Here is a 23,625-nt window from a genome sequence, read left to right as displayed (position 1 = left end):
AGTTTATCATTTCTGATCACTTTGTTTACATTAGGTTGTCTTCAGTTTTGTGGTTTAACTTTTTAATGTGATAGAATTATTTTTCAATGCAATTTTGTAAAGATGGACCTCATGTAAATCTGTCACGGTTTTTCTGGTTCTTTTGAAATTTTTCACCATAGTTGGATGAAGGTATCTCTTGAACCTATTCAAATGTACTGCACATATTCTGGATAATTCCATGTTAGACACTCTAGCTATGCACAGGCTTCTCAGACTTCACATCAATGTCACACATAGAAAATAAAAATATGTGGCACACCAGGGTAAATTTGAGGAATTTTAGGGACATCTTACATGGGCCTAGGTGAAAATAATCATTGTATTTTCTTTACATTATATAGCTATCATAAAACTACCAAGTGAAAGGAATGATAATAAACGTTGTTTCTACAAAACTTACAAAATAAAATGTTTTAAAATTGTTTAAAAAGTGGACATGGGAGGCATAAAATGAGGTTAGAGTGATGCAATGTGAGAAGGACTCAATCCATCCTTGCTGGCATTCAAGATGGGGGAAGGGGCCATGAACTAAGAAACATAGATGGCCTCCAGGCATTGGAAAGGGCAAGGAAACAAATTCTCCCTGAAGGCCCTTGAGAAAGGAATGAAGCCCAGCTAACGCTGTGATTTTAGCACAGCAAGACCTGGCCTGTGTCAGGCTTCTGACTACAGAACTGTAAGATAATAAATTTGTGTTGTTTTAAGCCACTGTGTTTGTGGTAATTTGTTACAGCAACGAGAGAAAACAAATACAAGTGGCAACACGCCTGGTATTTTAGAAGAATAGCAGGGAGACCTCACTGAGACAGAGCAAGCAAGGGAAAGAGTAGTAACACTTCCCTAAGAGTTTACAGAAGTAATTGGGGGCTGGATCACTTAGATTCTTGTTGGCCATTTCAAGGATTTTGACTTTTACTCTGAAAGAAAAACATTATACAGTTTTGCAGACAGGGCTGTTTTGATGGAAATACATTGAGAGGCCAAGACAGAAGCAGATGGATCAACTGGAAGTCTATTGCAATATGGTAAGCAAGAGACAATGACTCGTATCAAGCAGTAGTGCTGAGTTGTGTGAGGTGGTTGAATTCTAAACATATTTTGGTGACTGAATTGATAGGATTTTCTAAAACTTTGGGTATGGAATATAAAAAAGAAGAATTTAGGATGATTCCAAGAATTCTGGTCTAAGCAATTGGACTTGTCAGTAATTGAAATGGGGGAGAATGTAGAAGGAGCAAGTTTGGAGAGAAAGATCAAGAACTCAATGTTGGACATGCTAAGTCTGAAATGTCTGATAGATACTCTGTGAGACTGTGTTGTTATTCAAAATCATTCACTCCCTTTCCAGTTGATGGAGTATACTCCTGTCTCATTGACTTTGGTCTTGGCCATGTGACATGCTTTGACCAATAGAATGTGAGAAGATGGGCTAGGTGCGGTGGCTCACGCCTGTAATCCCGGCACTTTGGAAGGCTGAGGCGGGTGGATCATGAGGACAAGAGATCAAGACCATCCTGGCCAACATGGTGAAACCCCATCTCTACTAAAAATATAAAAATTACACTTTGGGAGGCCGAGGCGGGCGGATCACGAGGTCAGGAGATCGAGACCATCCTGGCTAACACGGTGAAACCCCGTCTCTACTAAAAATACAAAAAATTGGCCGGGCGTGGTGGCGGGCGCCTGTAGTCCCAGCTACTCGGGAGGCTGAGGCAGGAGAATGGCGTGAACCCGGGAGGTGGAGCTTGCAGTGAGCCGAGATCGCGCCACTGCACTCCAGCCTGGGCGACAGAGCGAGACTCCGTCTCAAAAAAAAAAAAAAAAAAATATATATATATATATATAAATTAGCCAGGCATGGTGGTGTGCACCTGTAATCCCAGCTACTCAGGAGGCTGAGGCAGGAGAATCGCTTGTACCCAGGAGGTGGAGGTTGCAGTGAGCTGAGATCATACCACTGCACTCCAGCCTGGCGACAGAGCAAAACTCCGTCTTCAAAAAAAAAAAAAGTGAGAAGATGTGACATATGCCATGTTTAGAGGCATCAAAGACTTCCACCTGCCCTCTTGTTTCTGCTCTCTGGTGCAATAGAATATCACAGACCAGATACAGATAGTGCCTTTGGCCTGGGGTCCTAGAATAAGAAGATCAGCAAAAAGATCCACTTATGAAACAGGGAGAAAATGTAAACCCAATCCACAGCCTGGAGCTGAGACGCAGCTGAGCTGAAAACCCATGAGCAAGAAATAGATGTTTGTTTCAGCCACTGACATTTGGAGGTTGTTTTCAAACTAATACAGTCTAGAGTTTAGAGGAGAACTCTAGGCTAGATATATCAATTTAGGAGTCTTCACTATATGGTTGTGATTTAAGCCATGAAACAGACTGAGATCACCAAGACAATGATAAAAAAAAAAAAAAAAAAAGAGGGTCAAAGACTGGGCACTGGGGTATTCCATTGTTGAGACTGGGAGAGGAAGAAGGACCACTTAAGGAGGAATTGAGAAGGAGCTAGCCAGTAAGTTAGGAGGAAAACCTGCAACACATGGAGTCCTAGAAGAGGAAGTTATTGTATTAAAAGCTTTGAAGAATTTAAGTATGATGAGGACTGAGAAATGACCACAGGTTTTAACACATGGAGGTCACCAGTGATCTTCACAACAGTAGGGTTTTTTTGTTGTTTTTTTTTTTTGTTTTTTGTTTTTGAGACGGAGTCTTGCTCTGTTGCCCAGGCTGGAGTGCAGTGGCACAATCTCGGCTCACTGCAACCTCCGCCTAACAGGTTCAAGTGATTCTCCTGCCTCAGCCTCCCAAGTAGCTGGGAATACAGGCGTGTGCCACCATGCCCAGCTAATTTTTTGTATTTCTTTCTTTCTTTTTTTTTTTTAGTAGAGACGGGGTTTTACTGTGTTAGCCAGAATGGTCTTGATCTCCTGACCTCATGATCCACCTGCCTCGGCCTCCGAAAGTGCTGGGATTACAGGCGTGAGCCATCATGCCCGACCCACAACAGTAGTTTTAGTGGAGTGATCAAGTGAAAACAATCCTCCTCTTTGTGATCATATTCTACTTATTCATACATTCAGTGACTATTTCTTGAGTATCTCCTATGTGACAAGCACTGTTCTAGACACTTGGTATATATCAGTGAAATAGACTCCCCCAAATCAAACAAGTACCTATGTCCTTAACAGGCTTAGATTTCAGTGGGAAGAGACACACAATAAACAATAAGCATGCTAAATGCGACAGAAGGTGATAATTGTTATTGAAAAGGAGCCCAAAGGGTTGCAATTTAAATAGTGTGGTCAGGGTAGGCTTCATAAGAAGGTGACATTTGATTAATAGCTTTAAAGAGCTGACTTCTTGATCCAAGACTGTATTCAAGGATTTTATTTTCCTCGATGCACTCAGTTTACAGTCCTCAGCTGGCAGACAAGTATGTCTGCAAGACTTGTGACTCCAGAGGGTTCCCAAATTGTTAATTGGTTGAATAAATAAATCAGAAGTAAAAACCCAAGATTCAGCCTCCACTTATTTCACTGTTATACTTAGAATAATCCAATTAGTACTGTGATCTATGAGAACCACTCAACAAAGAAAAATCATCTTGGATTAAGTCCATTGAAGTTTCCTAAGGGATTATCAACTCAAAAAAATGCCATTAATATTAGGTTATTAAAAAATGAATTAACTGTATGCTTAGCTGCTCACAGAAGAGGATAAATTGAGCAGGGATGTTAGGAACTCCAGCTTTGGGAAGTTACTTTCGCTTGACACAGACCTGAAATTAGCCTTGTGTTTCTTAGGAGGCCAAGTGCGCCCTTTTCCATTCTGTCTCGCGTCCCTGTGGTTGCTTATTTAAGGCTGTTGATGTCTGAATGAACTCAACACAACTCCCTGAGTCTCCCAGGTACACCGCCCCACACCCAGGATAACCAAAAATGAATAAGTAACAGAAGTATTCCATACATTGTTTCTAAATTTAAATCATTTGTTGAAATATGTGAAACAGTGTTAAGGGCTAATAATTAGGAACCCACTCATTAAGGTTTTCACAGAGGACAGGAAAGATTTTGGTGAAAAAAATCTAGCCCAGCACTGTCCAATAGAACTTTCTCTAGTAATTGAAACGTTGTATAATGGGTGCTGTCCAATATGGTAGCCACTAGCCACATGTGACTACGGAGAACTTGAAATATCGTTAGTGCAGTTGATAAACTGGATTTTTTTATTTTTATTTTTTTTGAGACAGAGTTTTGCTCTTGTTGCCCAGGCTGGAGTGCAATGGTGCAATCTCGGCTCACCGCAACCTCCACCTCCCAGGTTCAAGCGATTCTTCTGCCTCAGCCTTCCCAAATAGCCGGGATTACAGGCATGTGCCACCAAGCCCGGCTAAGTTTGTATTTTCAGTAGAGATGGGGTTTCTCCATGTGGGTCAGGCTGGTCTTGAACTCCTGACCTCGGTGATCCGCCCATCTCGGCCTCCCAAAGTGCTGGGATTACAGACGTAAGCCACCGCGCCTGGCCAGATAAACTGGATTTTTAATTAAAAAAAAAAAATTAAACTTCATTTGAACAGCAGTATGTGGCTAGGCTGCTGTACTGAATGGCACAGCTCTAGAGGTCTTGATTCTAAGCAATTCTTGTATCTGTCCCCCTTTCTATACAGTACAGGGATTGGGAAACAGGATTTTTAAGGTGTCTTCTTTTTCTGACGTTTTCTAACTTTTTAATCTTAACTACTTAAATAATCCCACACAGGAGCACTGCTATGGTCTGAACGCTTGTGCCTCCTCCTGCAAATTCATATGTTGAAACTCTAAGCCCCAAGGTGATGGCTTTTAGAGGTGGGACCTTCAACACCTGTGAAAAGAAGAGAAAAACAAAAGCAAAAAACAACAGAAGGGGTGGGGCCTTTTGGGAGGTCATTAGATTATCAGGATTCTGATCTAATCAGAATGAGTTTGGTGCCCTTAGAAGTCCAAGTATGCTTTGTTCACACCTTTGCCATGTGAGGACACAGCTAGAAGACATCATCTATAAGAAACAGGCCCTTGGCCAGGCGTGGTGGCTCACTCCTGTAATCCCAGCACTTTGGGAGGCCGAGGTGAGCAGATCACAAGGTCAGGAGTTCCAGACCAGCCTAGCCAATGTGGTGAAACCCCGTCTCTACTAAAAATACCAAAAATTAGCTGGGCATGGCGGTGGGCACCTGTAGTCCCAGCTACTTGGGAGGCTGAGGCAGGAGAATCGCTTGAACCTAGAAGGTGGAGGTTACAGTGAGCTGAGATCGTGCCACTGCACTCCAGCCTGGGCAATAAAGCGAGACTCTGTCTCAAAAAAAAAAAAAAAAAAGAAAGAAAGAAAGAAACAGGCCCTCAACCAGACACCAAATCTGTTGGCACCTTGATCTTAGACTCCCCAACCTCTACAACTGTAAATAATACATTTCTGTTGTTTATAAGTTACGCAGTCTAAGGTATTGTTATAGCAGCCTGAACAGACTAAGAATCACTTTTATTCTAAATGTGTAAGATATGAAGGCAGTTCTTATGATCCAGGTATTTTCTTTACTGTTAATATTTTGACATTTGGTTTTCTGAAAGGAATCCCCAAGGAAGTAGGCACCCAAAACACAAAACTAGGAAAGAAAATTGTCTGAATTCCCCACAGCTGCCAGCACATTTGTTTGACAGACAGCTAATGGGCACAGCCCTATAGTAGGCATTATGGATAGAAGTTGTCAAAGACAGTCCCTGCCCTAGAGGAGAGCCTACTTGGAGTGACATTTACATGGAATCCCATCACGTGACTTCCATAGTACAACAGCTAGCAATATCTCTGTATCCCCCATCTGAGTGACTTCATACCCGACAAGATCAACCTTGCTAAATGCTGACATAGATCCTATAAAACTGTTTTCATCTGGCTCTGACCTCTCTCCCCGCAAACCTCCACAGCTGCAAAGACAATATTGTCTTTGAAGAGGTGAAAGCTTACTTCCTTGGCCCAAACTGGAAATCTGACCTGGAAGTTTGTATTTTCAAAAAGAGCACATCTCTACAAGTTGAGAACTCCATTTATTTCAGACCTTTCTTATTTCCTTTCTTTTGGGTTTAATAATAAATTCTGAAATCCTCAGACTCATAATTAATATCTTGTTAATTAAAATTACACATAAACCAAGAAAACTAAATGCCAAAGTACTTGCTCTAACCTCAATATAGAGGCAGTTCTAATAATAAAAAACACTAATTTGACTATTTTAAATATTCTTCTTAGATAAAATCATCCTTTTGAATTTTAATGCTTAGCAGTTTTGAATAAAGCTTTCACATGTAGCTTAATTTGCTAGATATTTTCTTAGAACTTTCAACTAATGCAAATCCAAACATGCAACATGAAAAACATCAAAAGAGAAATCATAAACTTTTGGGCAACAGAATACGCCTGTCACCTCCTTTGCAATGCTTTTACCCCGAAAGCTGTAATAAAACATTAGTGCTTCTTACACTACACATCATATGATTGCTTACTGTTAAAACCCCAATTCCAAAGAACCACAGGTTATATCCCACCTACATAGAATACGAGGTTAAAGAAATCTGGGCCGGGCATGGTGGCTCACGCCTGTAATCCCAGCACTTTGAGAGGCTGAGGTGGGTGGATCACCTGAGGGTCACGAGTTTGAGGCCAGCCTGGCCAATGTTGTGAAACCCCGTCTCTACTAAAAATACAAAAAGATAGCCAGGCATGGTGGCACATGCCTGTAATCCCAGCTACTCAGGAGGCTGAGACAGGAGAATTGCTTGAACCCTGGAGGTGGAGGTTGCAGTGAGCCGAGATCATGCCATTGTATTCCAGCCTGGGCGACAGAGCAAGACTTCGTCTCAAAAAAGAAAGAAAGAAAGAAAAAGAAATCTGGAAAACAATTGAGATTCCAACACAATTTTTCAAAAAGCTCTTGCTTCCCGGCATACATACAAAGTGCTACATATGCATTAATAAATCTAACAAAAATGTAAATGAGAGACGTTGGGAGTGAAATTTCTCTTTCAGAAATTTTTCAGTTCAATAAAATTCTTAATACAAAAATGCAAACCTTATAAGTCAAATGCTTTGTCAGAATTTCGATTAGATTTTTTAAAAATAATCTACACTTAAAATTTCATGTTAGGGTAGATCACAGATCCTGTTTTAGATAAGAGAAACAAATGGATCATTTTTCCATCCAAAGAAGAAATAGGTTTTTGAGCACAGGTCTCAGTTTGAAGCTGACCCAACTAGGGAAAAAACAAATACGGCTGTCACAAAATTTCTATCCATCCTTATTAAGACAGATTTTATCTGCCTGCCAGTTGCACAACTTTCTCAACCCTCTTCTCATCTCACTGCCTCACTGAGGCCTGGTTTTATCTCCCTTTCCATCAACGCACCCATCGATTTGAGAGACATAAAGTAAAGCCACTCTCAGAAGCTCCTGTATCCATGACACAGGATCTGCAATTCCTCCACTGCTATTAGAGAACTCTTCAGGAGCCTCTTAGTAAGAAGGCCCCTGGGAAGCTTTCTTAGGGGTTACCACCTAACTGGTTGGTGATGGAAAAGGCCATCAAACATTGAGCCATTTTCCTCATCGGTAAAATAAGTGTTGAGTCAGACAATCTTGCCCTAACATAAGAATGCTTCCAGAAATAACATAAATGATCCTAATACGGAACATCTTTGGCACTTACTCCATGCCAGTGACTGCAATAAACACTTAATTTAATGATTTCATTTAACACCCCCAGGTAGGGACTCAATATTTACAGGTGAGGGAAGTAAGGATTTAAACGAGCTTGAGCAGTAGAATCTTCTCTCAATCAACCTTTCCTTAACCAATCCAGCAATTAACTGCCTCTAAATTGCTTTGTAAAGCCACACTATGATGAATGACCTCGGCCAGATGAATGCTGGCAGCTGGGAGCCTCCTCGCTATCAGGCACCATCTGCATATGGTTTCCCCCAGCAGAGTTCTGTACTTACCAAAAGTTACTCAGGTTTATTCCCAGACTTGCTTATGCCACAGTTACGTTTGCCATTGCAATGATGTAATTTAATAAAAAAGTGCACAAACCAATGAAATATAATTATAAAAAAAAAATACTGTTTTGATAACTCAGTAGGATGCTTTGAGCAGATGAGGCAAATCATATACACAAAATACTGAATTAAACATGGGGAAAAAAAAGCAAAAGATTTTAAAAAATGGAAATCCTACAAGTCTAGAGAGGTTCTATATTTATAGTATTTCTCATGTGTCATTAAGTTCCAATTCCACTTTAAAGAGAACCAAATAGGAAGCATTCTTACAGTGCATCATAAATGAAGGTTTGCAAGAAAGTGTAGTCCTACAACTAGAGGGTCTAAAGAACCAAATCTGTCAAATGAAAGTGTATTACTGATTTAAATATAAATAAAATGTTTATGATATACAAGTTATCCTGGGTAGGGAGGTGCAGGGGGGAGAAGAGGGTATTTTTTTCTGGCTGATGGAGGTATAATTGACACAGAATAAACTAAACATATTTAAAGTATACAATTTAATAAGTTTGACAGATGTCTACATCTGGGAAACCATCACTACAATCAAGACAGTGAACACATCAGTCACCCCCAAATTCTCTCATGCCCTTTGCAATCATTTTCTTTCTCTTCTCATTAATATTCCTCCACCCATCTCCAGGCAACCACCAATCTGTCACCAGATTCATTTGCATCTTCTAGAGCTTTACATAAATGGAATCATACAGGGTGTAGTCTTTTTCTCTGGCTTCTTTCACTTTAATTATTTTGAGGTCCGTCCATGGTGTTGCATGTATGAAGAATCTGTTCCTTTTTATTGCTGGGTAGTACTCTGCAATTGCATATTGCAATTTTGTTCATTCTTCTGTTGATGGGTATTTGGATTGTTTCTTTTTGGGGCTATTACAAACAAAGCTGCTACAAACATTCATGAATGAGTCCTTGGGTAGACATATACTTTCATTTCTTGAATAAATGCACAGGAGTGGAATGGATGGGACATAGGTTAGGCACATGTTTAACTTTTTAAGAAAACTGTGAAACTGTCCCACCAGCAGTGTAATAGAGTCCCAATTACTTCATATCTTTGCCAGCACTTGATATTCTTTTTAATTTCAGCCATTAAAATGGGTGTGAAGTGGTACCTCATTGTGGTTTTAATTTGCATTTCCGTAATGACTAACAATATTGAGTACCTTATGTGTCATCATTCCTTTTTCTGTTAACGTGTTTGTTCAAATGTTTTTTGGGGGAACTTTTTATGTATTCTGGATACAAATCCTTTTCTTCCAGTCTGTGGCGCTTGTCTTTTTATTCTCCTAACAGTATCTTTTGAGAAATTCTTAATTTTAATAACATCTAATCTATCCATTTTTGGATTTTACATCTGATCCATTTTGAGTTAGTTTTAAAAATATGGTGTAAATATGGATCCAGATTGGGTTATTTATATATTTTTGCATATGGATATCAAATTGTTCCAACTCCATTTGTTACATTATCCTTTATTCAATGAATTCTCTTTGTACCTTTGCCGAAAATCAACTGATTATAGGGTCAACTTGTTGATCTTCTTGCTGATTGTAGGTAATTATTTTCTCAACTAACTTCTTTTTTGATTTGCTGACTAACTAATGTCTGGGTTTGTCAAGGAGCTTCTACTATATCCTGATGGTTAAGAAACTTGTTGCAACAGGAAGGGCAACAGAAAGGACAAAGTAGGAAAGAGAGAGATAGGCAGGTAAGGATAAGTAAGATAGGCAAAACTATCACAACAGGTAGAAGAAAAAGGACTAGAAAAAAAGTGAAGGACATTTTTTTAAATGGCATTTTCCCATCACCAAAGACCACCCTTAACCCAGTATGACTCTATCCTATGTTTTTGTGTGTTTTGTTTGAGACAGAGTCTCGCTCTGTCGCCCAGGCTGGAGTGCAGTGGTGCGATCTCGGCTCACTGCAAGCTCCGCCTCCCGGGTTCACGCCATTCTCCTGCCTCAGCCTCCCGAGCAGCTGGGACTACAGGTGCCCACCACCACGTCCGGCTAATTTTTCACATTTTTAGTAGAGACGGGGTTTCACCGTGTTAGCCAGGATGGTCTCGATCTCATGACCTCATGATCCGCCCACCTCGGCCTCCCAAAGCGCTGGGATTACAGGCCTGAGTCACTGCACCCGGCCACAACTCTATCCTGTGTTTTGAAAACTTATGTCTTTAAAGTGAACTGCATTTATTAGGTAATTCATTTGTTTTCATATATTATTCATCAAAGGCATATGCTACTGCCAGTGTTTCTGAGCAGCTTGATAACCAAGATTGCAGTAACTCCTGCCAAAAGTAAACTGACCTTTTAGGTATCCTGTGCAGCCTTGTGGTGGGTAACTTTGTGATCTCCATTAAGTTTTCTGAAATATGCACAGTAGCCCCCAGGACTCCCACTATCCCACTCCCTGCCCAAATCATTCTCTTTTCAGAACCATGGGGTTCTGGAGCCTCAGAGGAACGCAAGCCTATAGGCTTCACCCGGCTTTACTTCCCTCATCAATCACCTGCAGTGTCATCAGAGCTTCAGAAAAATATGCAATTTGTTAATGTGATGAAAATAACAAAAAGGCATAAAGCGCTTATTCAACCAATGGTTTGGCAGTAACTTAGAATACTGCTAATTAGCAAGGGACAGCCCCTAAACCATAAAAAAATTGTCATTCCTTAAGAGAAACATGTAACCAGCACTTTTTCCAAGACTATATGGAACTCCAATAAACCCTGATCAAGTCAAGCAACCCTCAACAGTCTGGGATACCAGAGCTTCTAACAAGATTGTGAGAAATTGAAAATTAAACACACCTAGAGGAACTGTTAGAAAAGTTAGTCAAAAAGGAAAACCCTGCCCAAACTGGATAGATCAATGCTATCAAATCCGACAGCTTGACATGTTTGAATCCAAAAATAACTCAAAGCTAGATCCCCAAGTGAGTAAAATGATGAATTCGTGGTGTAGACTGTGAAAACGTCACCTTATACCCAGAGTTCTCCTTAAGCAATCATCTATCTTAACAAAAGAGAACAGATGTCAACAAATTAATGCATTAAAAGATGAGGTGAAGACACAACTATTGATTTCAAATTTTTTCCCTTTGAGAAAGTGTTCTTTTTCTAAAATAGGGGATGCTTCCAATGTGCTCATCACTCCTATGCAGAGGGCCCAGCTAGGCCTCACAGAATTACTTCTATGTTGGCGCCTGTGTTGCTGAAGCAAGGGCTACTATAGCTTTTAAATCTACTCCCTTGTCACAAGCCCAAATTATTTCTCAACTGAAAACAAGGTGCCCATCCACTGATACATATATTGAGCAAATCTGTAATTTCCACACCCACAAGGCTCCTCTCACTTACTTCTGGGGACTCCCTGCTCTGTACAATGTCCAGACACTTCTCCTTCCATGTTTGTGTATTACACCCAACCTCGTAGGAGACAAAGTAGCAAACATAAGCAGCCATGTCTGCTCATTTCTGCTTGCTAACATAATTTCACGAAGCGCTGACTCCACAACAATGTGCAGCTCTCTGAAAGCATGCTTTGAGGACAGTGCAGTATTAGCAGACGGTCCTCCAAGTCTCTTGCCTGGTCACTATATTCTTTAAAAGATAAATGACCCTAGTCCTTGTGTTTTCTAACATATAATGTCTGACAGGCTTAGTGATTATGCTTCTGTAATCTACAACTAGATGTACTCTTAAACCCAAACTCTGATGTGATTTTGCACGTACCGAACCTCCAGCATCTGTATATAAGCAGTGGGTTGAAGTATCTGTGCTGGAGCAGCCTGGCAGAACCTCTCTCAAAGGCTGCTCCTGGGCTACAGGCCTCAGCCTACAGTCTTCAGTAAGACTTCTGAATAAAACAACCTTTAATTATTTAAAAGGTTGCTATTTTTTTCTTTAGTCAACATCAAGTTAGATATCTTATTAACATATCTGGTAAAAGTGTACATGGCTGTAATTGACATTTTCTTTCCTTTACAGAGAGTCTAAGTGCCATTCATATAGGCCCCCCAATTTGTTACCCTTAGCATCAGAAAATGAAATCAGTAAACACCAAATGAAAGCAACAACAAAAAAATTAACTTCAGGATCTAAAGTTCACATTTAAAACAGCTTCAAAAGTAACATGCACAACTGGCAACGATCTCTTCAGACTACTAATGTCCAGATCTGACAATTAATATGCTAAAGGTGGCCAGTATGCAAGTGGTAACAGAAAACAGAAGGGAAAACCGAAGAAAGTTCATGAATTCTCTACCTCTGAGCAAGAGTTAGCTAGCTGAGTATGTTACCGAATCTCACTTTGAGGACTAGGAGTGGGAATCCAGATTTAATTCCTAGTTAGTCATTAACTATATGAACTTACTTAGATTTAACTTCTTTGGGCCTCAGTTTACCTCTAAAATGAGTACAATTGTCAATGAAATTCACAAACATTTACCATGTGGGTAAAACAAAAAGCATAGCCCTTGCTCCAAATTCTGACACGTCTAAATTCTATGACTGTTTTGGCTATGACTTTCTCACTCTTAGAATAACTGGGTTTATTAGGAATTACAATTAGTTCTATGCTTGATTTAGATATCTAAATTTTTAATCAAGTGTAACAGAACCGCCTGAGATGGTGTTCATCACCAAGAAATGGTGCTACGGTAGCCAATTCCATTTGAACACTGATGAATGTAACCAGTGTTGTTTTACTGAACTTCATGAGACAAACTGCTTTATTTTTACTTTTGCTGTTTCTGAGGCTTAGCAATGCCAGGTAGAGCTAATATAATTACCACAATGCTAAAAGTTTCTACTAAAGAAAAAATATGCCTTAAAAATACATTACTATTTCAAATATTACATCTGTACAGCACTTTATTGTCCTCAAAGGTAGTTCACATTCAGCAGGTAAGGTTTACCTCACTGCAGAGTTGAGAGAACAGAAAAAGAAGAAAAGCTCAAGACAAGAATTTCTTCCCCCTTTGAAAATTTAACCCTTTACTAAACAGCCTAGATAATTAGCAATCTAATTGCTGCTGAATTTGCCAAATTTAAGTCAAAACAATACAAGCAAGATCTAAAGTAATGGAAACCACCAATAAGAAGTAACAATTTTCTTCCATTAAACTAATTGCTTACCAATCACCATTTAACTTCTTTTTTCTGCAACTTTTTTCCTTCTACAGTATGAACTGTACCTTCCTTAAAATTTCAAAGGAATTTTGCTGACCATAAATTACATTGGTAGAAATCATATCCCAAGTCCTTTATAAGGCTTTAAATAAAGTCAAATTTATGCCTCAGACATCTGCATTAGTAAGTAGCAACACAGGCTTTGAATCCACTGGCAGACTCAAGACTTTCTTTACCCAGGTTTCCCCAACTTATCTTGTGTTCTAATGTTTGTGGATTTCAATCTATTGGCCAAGAATGATATTTGAATTGAAGAGGACAAGGAGATTTAAGGATAAACTATTCTTGATCACAGTATATGAAGTCAGCAAGACGTTCAATTAGACTTCTTTGCTTATAATGAAGAAGCATACGATCAAGTCTTTTCATGATGAAAATTGTTACAGGCCTAGGAAACAAAAGCATCTGTGGAATAATCTATTGTCAAAAATAAAATCAGATCAAATTTTAAAATTGTATGTTTATTGTGCACATAAAAGAACAGCTGGCAAACCTGGAGACCTCAAACCAAAATGGTTAGAAGTCTGCACACAGCAGTTATAGTACCATTTATAAAGCATAAGGGAGAAAGTATTTTCACCCTCTTTTATAACTGGCTATTACATGTTAACATTCTTTATAAGGAAAGCAGACCAGTTGTTGATTTGTCTACACAGTAGGCACTCCCTTATCCTTAGGGGATCCTTTCCAAGACCTTTCCTATACATTCATACCTATGATAAAGTTTATAAATTAAGCACAGTAAGAGATTAACAATGACTAGTAATAATATAGAACAAGTGTATGAGTACACTAGCATTACTCTTGCACTTTGGGGTCACTTTTGGGTAAAATAAAGGTGACCTGAATACAAGCACCGCAATACCGGGACTCATCTAGCAGCCTCCTAAGTGACTAATAGGCGTGGGACGTCTACAGCATGGATCCACTGGACAAAGGGATGATTCGCCTGCTCAACAGGATGGCACAGGACTTGAGATTTCATGATGCTACTCAGAATGGTGCACAATTTAAACTATGTGAATTGTTTCTGGAATTTTCCATTTAGGGTGACCATGGGTTACTGAAACAACTGCAGAACGCAAAACAGCAGATAAGGGGGGATTACTGTATGGCTAGTAAGTTTGATTTCACCAAATCATGCCGACAAGGCCTTGCATTTTGTTTTGATTAGAACTAGCATTTCAGGGAAATCAGGACGACTTAAGTTTTGGCTATGTGGCTATGGGTGGTTGACCTTGGGGGTCTATCTAATCTTTAACACTATACTATCTATCAAATAATAGAATTCCCTAAAACCGGAACGATAATTTTGGACTATTCGTATAGAATCAACTTTGTCATACTGAAAGCTTTTATTGCAAAGTGAGTTTACATGTGATACATGACGCAAGCAGCAAAAAAGTTGGCAGTTTTTTTTATTAGCTGCAGGAGTGACTTTGAAATGGTTACCTGAATAGTGATCAAAACCTCAGAAAGCTTTCTCTTCATCTTTTCTGACCAGACAATCCCACTGCTCAAAAATCTCAATGAAAAATAAAGTGACAAACTAAAGACAGAGTACAATGTTAGTTTCTGGAATTTTATTATTTTTAATACATACATTTCACAAACAGAAACCCTCTAAAACCACACACAATTCCACAACCAAATGTTTCAATTTTATCAACATTCTTTAACTATTTACACTGTCTTTCCTCAACAAAAGTGCAATCCAAGACATCTTGACAAGAAATCTTTACTGACAAGAATTTATTTTTGAGCTGGTTTTAATGGAGCCCATCCATTATATTTTCTTTCAATTACCCGGAATATTCAGTGAACAGGACATAGAGATGAACTGGGTTAGGCAGCATCCTATTATAGGAAATAAAACACTAAACAAGAACACTTTCTCCTCACTTCCTTCCCAACCTCCAATGAAAGTTACTCAACAGCTGCTACCAGGACACAAAACAGAAAAGCAAACTGGAGTTCCTGACCTAGACACAGGAGAACAGACTGTGTATTAAGCATCAGTCTTGCAGGACTAAACAAAAGACTTAGCAAATTAGTTCTGGTGCTCTAATAAGGTACATATCTGTCTTATCTGTTAGTTTTAGAGTTCAAATACCTAATAAGATTCTTTTTAGATGAGTTAATTTTCCCCCAACATATATGAAAATACCTTTTACTCAGAAAATGAACTTCTTGAACAAAACCTAGAAGTTAAAGGGCATTTAAGGAAAGCTCCTCTGTAACTAGAATGGGATAATTCACCCAACTCCCCAACTTCATGGCACCATGTCTATCTTTTAAAGTATAAACCCATTATATCAACTGCTTCAAATGTAACAAGAGAATGAAGAGGTGAGATGGCCTGAAGAGAAAACAATCAATCAGAAATTGTCCTCTCACTAAAGCAGATCATTGTATCTGCTCAAGGTATAAAACTCTTAAAAATAAATAATTAAAAAATATTAAGAATAGACGAAAAATCACTTTGAAATTATTAGTCACTCTTAAGACTGCTTCATTTTACTGAACACTATTCATCAGAAAAACAAATTGGATCTCTTGGGTAACTAATATCCTTTTAGTATCCTAACTACAACAAAAATACTAACCTTTTTTGATATATTCCAATTCCAATCAAAGTATTCAGGGCAAGCTTGGGGTATTAAGGTCAGTAGATTTCCAAAATAAGATTTATCTTCATGGTGTTGAATATTCGATTATATTTTATTCCCAAATCAGCCAGATTTTCCCTCTAGACAAGAATGAATCGTCTTAAAGGCAAAAGATATTCCCAGATATGCTTCATGCTCTTATGCTTTTCTCTTTAAGTAACATCCACAGAATCCTTACTTTAGCATCGAAATAATGTCCAAGAGTAAACTTTACCCAATTACAGTAAAACCTCATCCTATTTATTGTTCAGGGGGTAGAAAGCCATCTAAAAAGGCAACATGGAACACAGCATACACTACACTGACGGCAGTTCTAAATTCAGGAGCTTGCTGAATGCAATGTATAGGTCAATTGTAAGCTTCAGAACAACAATATAAAGCAGGTTTCACTATAAAATTTTAGGTGGGTTAAAGATCAGCATCATAAATATTTTACTATTTAAATTCAGAAATAAAATCCAAATGGTATTACGAGGACAAGAGAAACTTAGCACTTTTTGCATCTGGGTACAGGAGAGAATCAATAAGGAGATAGTTAATTCACCACTACAGCTTTGTGCATTAAAGACAAGTTTGCAGAAAGCTATGTCTTACAATCCTCTTTTAGTTGCATCAAACACTGTCAGTTCAATGACTTTCTACTTCTTATAGGCATTTTATGCATTTCTTCCCACTGAAATGTTTTTTCAGATGATCAAACACCAACCTAGATGCAGCAAACCAAATCATCCAAACTGAAAGATGAATGATATTAGTGAATAACATTGGTTCTTTAATGCTGTATTGTTTCAAACAAAACATCAAATACTTCATATAGAACTGAAACTTGGCCAGGCACAGTGACTCACGCCTGTAATCCCAGCACTTTGGGAGGCCGAGGCAGGCAGATCACAAGGTCAGGAGATCTAGACCATCCTAGCTAACATGGTGAAACGCTGTCTCTACTAAAAATACAAAAAATTAGCCGGGTGTGGTGGCACGTGCCTATAGTCCCAGCTACCTGGGAGGCTGGGACAGGAGAATCGCTTGAATCCAGGAGGCAGAGGTTGCAGTGAGCTGAGATCGCACTACTGCACTCCAGCCTGGGTGACAAGAGTGAGACTCCATCTCAAAAAAAAGAAAAAAAGAACTGAAACTCACGTGCAATATTGCCTAAATACTTCTGAAAAGAAAAACCACACAGTTAAAAAAAAAAAAAAAAAAGTATAAACCAAATGAGTAACATAAAATGTTCACATCAACCCCAAATTTGGCTATTCATAAAATGATTTTCTGCATTCTTTTAGCATATATGCACATCATACATGAAATTATCAAATTAATTTTTGAGAAATCATATTCCAATTCTATAAGGGTATGCGACGTCAGTCTATTTAAAGCATTAAAATCTACTGAACCAAAGGCTGTATTTTGGAATGCCCAATGCTCTGACTAATCAAGTTCTATATATATGATCATCCTTTTTCATCAACAGTAAGGTATCATGGGCTTTTTAGAATGGTCTATTTTTCAAACATACTGCTATGCATTAAAATCATTGATTTTCCAAAACATACTTTTAAAAGAAATAGTAAAATTATTTTCTTCATCATCCTTTCACACTTTTTTCCCTTCCCTCTTAAGGTCAAATCTTTGATTTTGGAAACTCAGAATTAATTGGTTATACATGGCCATAAGCAATTTTGAGGACAATAAATGTGGCAATTATTGGTTCTGAAGCTCACCAGTTAGATTCTGTGGCTGAAAGATTTACCTGTGAGAAGAACCTGACACCAAATGACACTTCAACAGTGCAACCTGTAATAAATCATCACTGCCCAAATCAGGTTATTCATGGGTTCTCCTTAAAAGCTATATTACCAACTTCAAAGACACAATTTAAATGATTGAGTTCTGCCTTCTTGCATTATTTCCAAATTCATTTCACATATTCTGTTATAGGTCAGTTTACCTAAACATATTTGCAACACTAATATCTTTCATATGTCTTACAATTTGGATATTACTTTCAGCATGAAAAATGAACTGGCAAATTACAATAGTGATAGAAACAGCACTTGTGCCACTTTCAGGTCACCTGTCAGTGTGAGTAAACTGCCTGCCCATGTGTGCTGCAGAACACTAGGCTGAGATAGACTAATGCACTATTAGCTCTCCAGGCACAGACTTACATTCACTTGTCACATATTTTTCCAAAGGCCCAAGGAAGATCTAAAAGAAGGTTTTTAGAAAGTTAACATTTTAGTAAGAGTTTCCTTCCAACTCCTATCAAGCTCTTAGTTTATAACCACAAATTCCTTTCCTAAATTCACCCCATCCTCCCCACCATCTTAAAGCTGCATCAAAGATTCTTGGTAAGAGTGAACCCCAACCCAAATGCACAGGATTACCCATCTGGGCTCTGGTCAAAACCACAGATTAACACTCGGGAATCAAGACAGGGCAAGGGCAGCCCCTATTTTAGTGGCACACATACAACAAAGTAACTCTCCTTTAAATTAGAAAGGAAATTAATGTCACAGAATGTTTCCCTATAAAAGATATGTAATAAAGTAATAATATCAATAAAATAGCTATTACTAAAGCAAAGCTTTCATCAATAAGCTTCGAGAACTTTGAAGGAGGAAAATGGCTTCACGAAGTGGTAGTCCAGGTTCCCACAGTGTGGACACTGCTGGACGTTGCTATATTCGGAGAAGTACTGCATCCCGATCCTCACGTCGATCACCGGCTTCCCACAGTGCTTACAGTTCAGGCGGGCCTGGGGGAAACAGACACCATCAGCCACAACACCCCTCCACTTCCCAACACTTGTCAAAGTCATCCAAACCAAAATGCTGGGAAACTGATCAAGGGCTTTGCAAAGCATCCCTTTTACTACCAAAAACATGGAAACGGGGTATACCTGAAAGACTCCCAACTTCTCTCCTGATATGCAGCACTGCTAGCTGTTTCACCTACTTATGAGAAGAAAATTCTAAACTACTACTGCCTAAATGCTCTCCACTGAAGTTCCCTAACAATAAGAAACCCCTCCCCCTGGATTTTAAGACAGCGGCTGAAGCTGACTTCCCTCACCCAAACCTCCACGAAACTTCTTTGAAATTTCATTTTTCATTCTACTCTATAGAAAAGTTGCGTTTTCTTTGATGTAAAAATAAAATTTCCCAAGATACTCAAGTAAAATTAGCAATCCAGGAAGTGCGGTGCTGGTCTGAGGCTTCTGGAGTTCCCAGCACCCTGCATCTTCACTCATGCCTAGCCTCTCCGTAACAGCACAGTCCTGGAACCTTTCAGCAATGGGTCCAGGACTTAAGTGAATAACCACAAATTATAAATAAAACAGACTCAATTTAGACTCATTTTAAAAATGTACTTAAAAAGTATAATCTCAACTTGTTCTCAAAATACTCCTGGGAGGTAGGTAGTATTAGCTGACTTTTAGATAATGCAACTGAGGCACATGTGATAAAGCACCATGCCAAAGACCATGGTTAGAAAGCAGCAAGGCTGGAGTGAACCAAAGCAGCCTGCTGATCCTCAGCCACTGCAGGAACTACTTTTCTGTAACCTGAGATAAACACTCTTTTAACTACGTAATCTCTCTGAACAACATTAAAAGTGTGATTCTGAGCAAACCCGTCTTCACACTGTTATACCTTTCTAAGAATCAATTATTGCTTATTTTTGGCTACATCTTATTGAAGACTTCCCTTGATTCATTAGTAGCGTCTAACACTTGTATCCTCACTGATTTTTTTAAATTAACAATAATCGAACATATTTTCCATTTCAGTAGGGGGCCAGAAAAGAAAGGTCTGGGCTTCAATTGTTTTAAGGAAGAAATACAGTGCATGGTGAATACCAAGAGGCTGGGTGTGGCAGGATGCTGTTCTGTTTTTCCTCCTAAAGACATGGAAATAATCTCATTGCCTTTCAATGGTGTACCAGAAAGAACACCAGAACAGGAGTCACACGGTGCAGTCATGGCTGTGACACAATGTATGTAGACCTGGGTAAAACATCCCAAGTTTGTAGGCCTCCATTGTATGAGGAAATAAGGAGGTCGGTCTAGATCCCAGGTCCTTTCCAGTGCTAATCTTCTGAGTTAACAGGCTCAAAAGTTCTTTCACTTCCTTATTTCTTCAATTTAAAAGATAATCCTCCACGGTGTGTGTGTGCAGAGGGGAGCCACTTCCTCTGGTTTCTCTCAAGAGCTGGCATCAAGGCACAATAACTATCATAAAATGCCACAGTGAATAACTACTGATAATAGTAAAGATACTCTCTTTACAAAAATCAAGCCATAATGCTAAAGACATAAAACTATGCAGTAACTAATGAAGTATGTATCAGCTATTTGTACTAAAAAACCAGGCTGGAACACTTTAGAGCAAAGAAAAATTTCTCTCCTGCCCATGAGAGTATCAAGGAATTACCTAACAAGCTGTTTTCTTCCCCAAGCACTTGGAAATAAAGCAAGATATTTCCAAGCATTTTGTCTCCTGTGATTCTATAGGTTATTTGTGTTTTCATATGTGAATACTTCCCTCTTTTTCTGATGACAGCTAAATTTCAGATGTCCTCATAGCATGAGACAATGCCTCCTTTTAGTAGTGCTTTAAGGATTACAACCTCAAACACCTTACAAGGCATGCAATTCCTGGATAACTGTACTATCCCACAGAAAGAAAACAAGAAAATCCTATTTAAGAAAGTGACTTTCTTCCTTTTGAATAACATTTTTTCTATTAGAAATTTACTATAAGCTAATCATACAGAATCTTAGAAAATATACTCAAGGAAAAAGAAAACTAAAGGAACCATTCAGCCTCCCACCACTGAGACCATCTGGTAACAGGTTAGCAATTCCCTTTTCATGCTCACTTACTTACAAATGCAAGCATATTATTATACCATTTTATAACCTGTTCTTTTGACCTAATATACTGGAAATGCTTCCCACATAATTATATATTATTCTACAGTATTCCTTTTAATGACTGAATAGTATTCCACTAAATGACTACATTACAAGTAGTAACTCAGCCATCATTGCTGGACTGAATTTCTTCTTTATTGCCAGACGCATCTTCCCTACATTCACTTGGGGACAGAAGCCTAATATCACCCACTGCTCCCTCAGTGTGTTCAGTACCTACCTGACAACATGGAGAGGCAGCCAGGATGTCGTAGGTGTACATAGTGCCCAGCTGGTGCCAGCTGCCATCCCACCGTGACTTACACTTGATGCAGATGATCTTGTGAACCCCTTCCAGGCAGTCCACGCACACGGCATACAGATGCATGAGTCTCCCTGTGCACAGAAGACACAAGGCTCTGAGTGGCCATCATGGAAATCACATTTCATCTCCAAGGAGATAAAAATGTTTCATCTACCAATTATAAGCAAAGATTTTATCATTTGGATAAATATAAAAAGAAAAATCAATATTTAGTACACAAGCTGTCCTTTCAGGATAATGATGAATTACTAGCTGTTGTCAATAAAGCATGTATTTTAAGTTCAAGCATATTAAAAACTTGGCTTCAATTCACTTTTCCAAAAAGGGCTGCTGGGCTTACATAATGGGTCCATCCAAATTCAAGTAACAAAGCCACATACACTCAAAACCAGCCTGTACTGTATTCACGCAGGACTTCCTGCTCAAAAGTTTATGTTTAGCATATAGAGACTTAACCAACACCACTGATCTTGTCACAAGCTCTCTTGTGACAAGTCCCATCATAAAAATCAAAAGTCTGTCTTGGGGACTGATAGCCCAGAATTACACCACAACCAAAATTACTGTTAACTATCCTTGTCCTCAAAATGCTCAGCCATCACCACATCTAATTTAGGAACCAGAATTATATCTTACTCGTAATTTTTTAAAAGAAGTTCAATGTCTTATTATTCACCGAGCTCTTAAAAGTTACAACATGATCCCCCTCCATTATTTGATAACATCTTAATGTTAATAAAGGAAAGATGTCATCCTAGTGTATATGGAAGCATCACAGTTTAAATAATTAGGAAAGAGTCAGAATGCCCAGAATCTGCCCAGGCAACGTATAACAGCAACATTTCTGCTCTGTGTGGAACCCAGGGTGCTTCCCCATGTTAAAAACTACCATCAGGAGAACACATAATCCTAAGTGGCCTCATATTCAGAATGTGCTGCTCACTGCCATCAGTCAGACTATGGGTCTTCAGCACTCAGTAGTAAGGATCAACCTGCTCCTTACCCGATGGAAAGGTATGTATGTTCCATCTACAGTACTTAGGGGGAGCCCTTCGTTTGCATTTACTTGCATGACCCCCTTCCTCCTTGAGGGCAAGAACCATGTCTTAGTCATCCTTGTAGACTCAGTGACTAGCACAGTGTCTGGGATGTGGAAAGCACTTTATAAGTGTATGTTGGGTAAATGGATGGGGCATGTTAACAGCCAAAGACAGATAACCTTGGGGGCCTTTATGCCAAAAGGGGGAAGGATGACAAGAACTTCTTGAAATACTCCCCACCTCTGCTCTACGGCATTGAAAATAAAAGGGTCTCACATGCCACATCTACTCTGGCCTCGGGGCATGTTAGGAAGTCCGTTCAAGGATCCAGGAGCCACTGGAAAAAATTTCATTTGCACTCTCTGTCCTGCATACTCAATGCAATTCCCAAACATTCCCAGGTACAGAGGCCACAGCTGAGAAGGGTAAGGGCAGCCTTAGACACAGAAGTCAGGTGTTGCTAACGATGACCATAATGATGAAGACAGAGTAACTTTTACTAAGAGTTAACCGAGGGTATGGCACTATGCTACCAGCTCCGTGTGAATCATTTCATTTAACCCTAACAGCAGCATTACAGAATAGACATTACTGTTGCTCCCACTTCTGAGAGTAGGAAGTGAGGCTTACAGAGCTGAGCAGCTTGCCCAAGTTCTTAAGATTTAAGTAGCAAGTCCAGACTGATTCATGTCTCTCGGATCCGTAACCTACAGGCAAACTCACTGGAACACCTGGTCTGGACTGAGTCTAGATTTGTTTCAGTTCTGCTACACATTGTCCTGACCACAGAGAATTTTGAATTTCTAAACCCTTTGTGAATTTAAACAAAAAGCCGATTCTTCAGAGAACAATCACATGTGGTTCAAAGTGGTAAAGAAGCCCAATAAGAACTTCTTAATTAGATCAATCTTAATAAATTAATGCTAAACAAAACCTATTTTCAGAGGGAAAGAGAGCAAACGAAGTCCAGAGACAGGGTCCGGGGAGGGCAGTGAGTGGTAAAGGGCAGGGCGAGGGAGTAGTAATCCAGAAAGGGCCACTGAACACAGCAAGTACTGCAGCAGCATGTCAGCCCCGCATGCTGTGCAATCCTGTGGCCTGCAGTGTGGCCCTTCTATTGGAGTTGAAAATGCTTTAAAAAACACATGATCAGGCTAGGCACAGTGGCTCATGCCTGTAGTCTCAGCATTTTGGGAGGCTGAAATGGGATGATCATTTGAGGCCAGGAGTTCAAGACCAGCCTGGGCAATAATACAGTGAGACCCCATCTCTTAAAAAAGTTTAGGGCTGGGCGCAGTGGCTCACGCCTATAATCCCAGCACTTTGGGAGG

General features: G+C 39.3%; 2 protein-coding genes across 6 annotated transcripts in view, besides 3 other annotated features; one reads left to right on the top strand and one right to left on the bottom strand.

Annotated features, from left to right (window-relative positions):
- The window catches only part of TXLNB (taxilin beta), a 164,789-nt gene that overhangs the window by 128,241 nt on the left and 12,923 nt on the right, over positions 1-23,625 (top strand). The window lies entirely within an intron of this gene.
- Positions 14,908-23,625, bottom strand: part of HECA (hdc homolog, cell cycle regulator) — a 45,723-nt gene continuing 37,005 nt past the window's right edge. The window contains exons 3-4 of the mRNA NM_016217.3: positions 21,171-21,325; positions 14,908-18,769 (exon numbers count right to left, since the gene is read on the bottom strand). Coding sequence (NP_057301.1) covers positions 18,605-18,769; positions 21,171-21,325 — 320 coding nt within the window. The 3' untranslated portion in view covers positions 14,908-18,604. The remainder of the gene's footprint in view (positions 18,770-21,170; positions 21,326-23,625) is intronic.
- Positions 20,199-20,268: an enhancer, noted in NCBI's record as "active region_25168". NCBI's record gives its function as "activates an Ori minimal core promoter by ATAC-STARR-seq in GM12878 lymphoblastoid cells {active_cell/tissue: GM12878}" and the evidence as "EXISTENCE:reporter gene assay evidence [ECO:0000049][PMID:35858748]".
- Positions 22,209-22,258: an enhancer, noted in NCBI's record as "active region_25167". NCBI's record gives its function as "activates an Ori minimal core promoter by ATAC-STARR-seq in GM12878 lymphoblastoid cells {active_cell/tissue: GM12878}" and the evidence as "EXISTENCE:reporter gene assay evidence [ECO:0000049][PMID:35858748]".
- Positions 22,926-23,055: a silencer, noted in NCBI's record as "silent region_17608". NCBI's record gives its function as "represses an Ori minimal core promoter by ATAC-STARR-seq in GM12878 lymphoblastoid cells {active_cell/tissue: GM12878}" and the evidence as "EXISTENCE:reporter gene assay evidence [ECO:0000049][PMID:35858748]".

Source organism: Homo sapiens, chromosome 6 (genome assembly GCF_000001405.40).
Source record: "Homo sapiens chromosome 6, GRCh38.p14 Primary Assembly".
Classification (NCBI taxonomy): domain Eukaryota; kingdom Metazoa; phylum Chordata; class Mammalia; order Primates; family Hominidae; genus Homo; species Homo sapiens.
The sequence above is the reverse complement of the archived record's forward strand: the minus strand, read 5'-3'. Positions and strand labels throughout refer to the sequence as shown.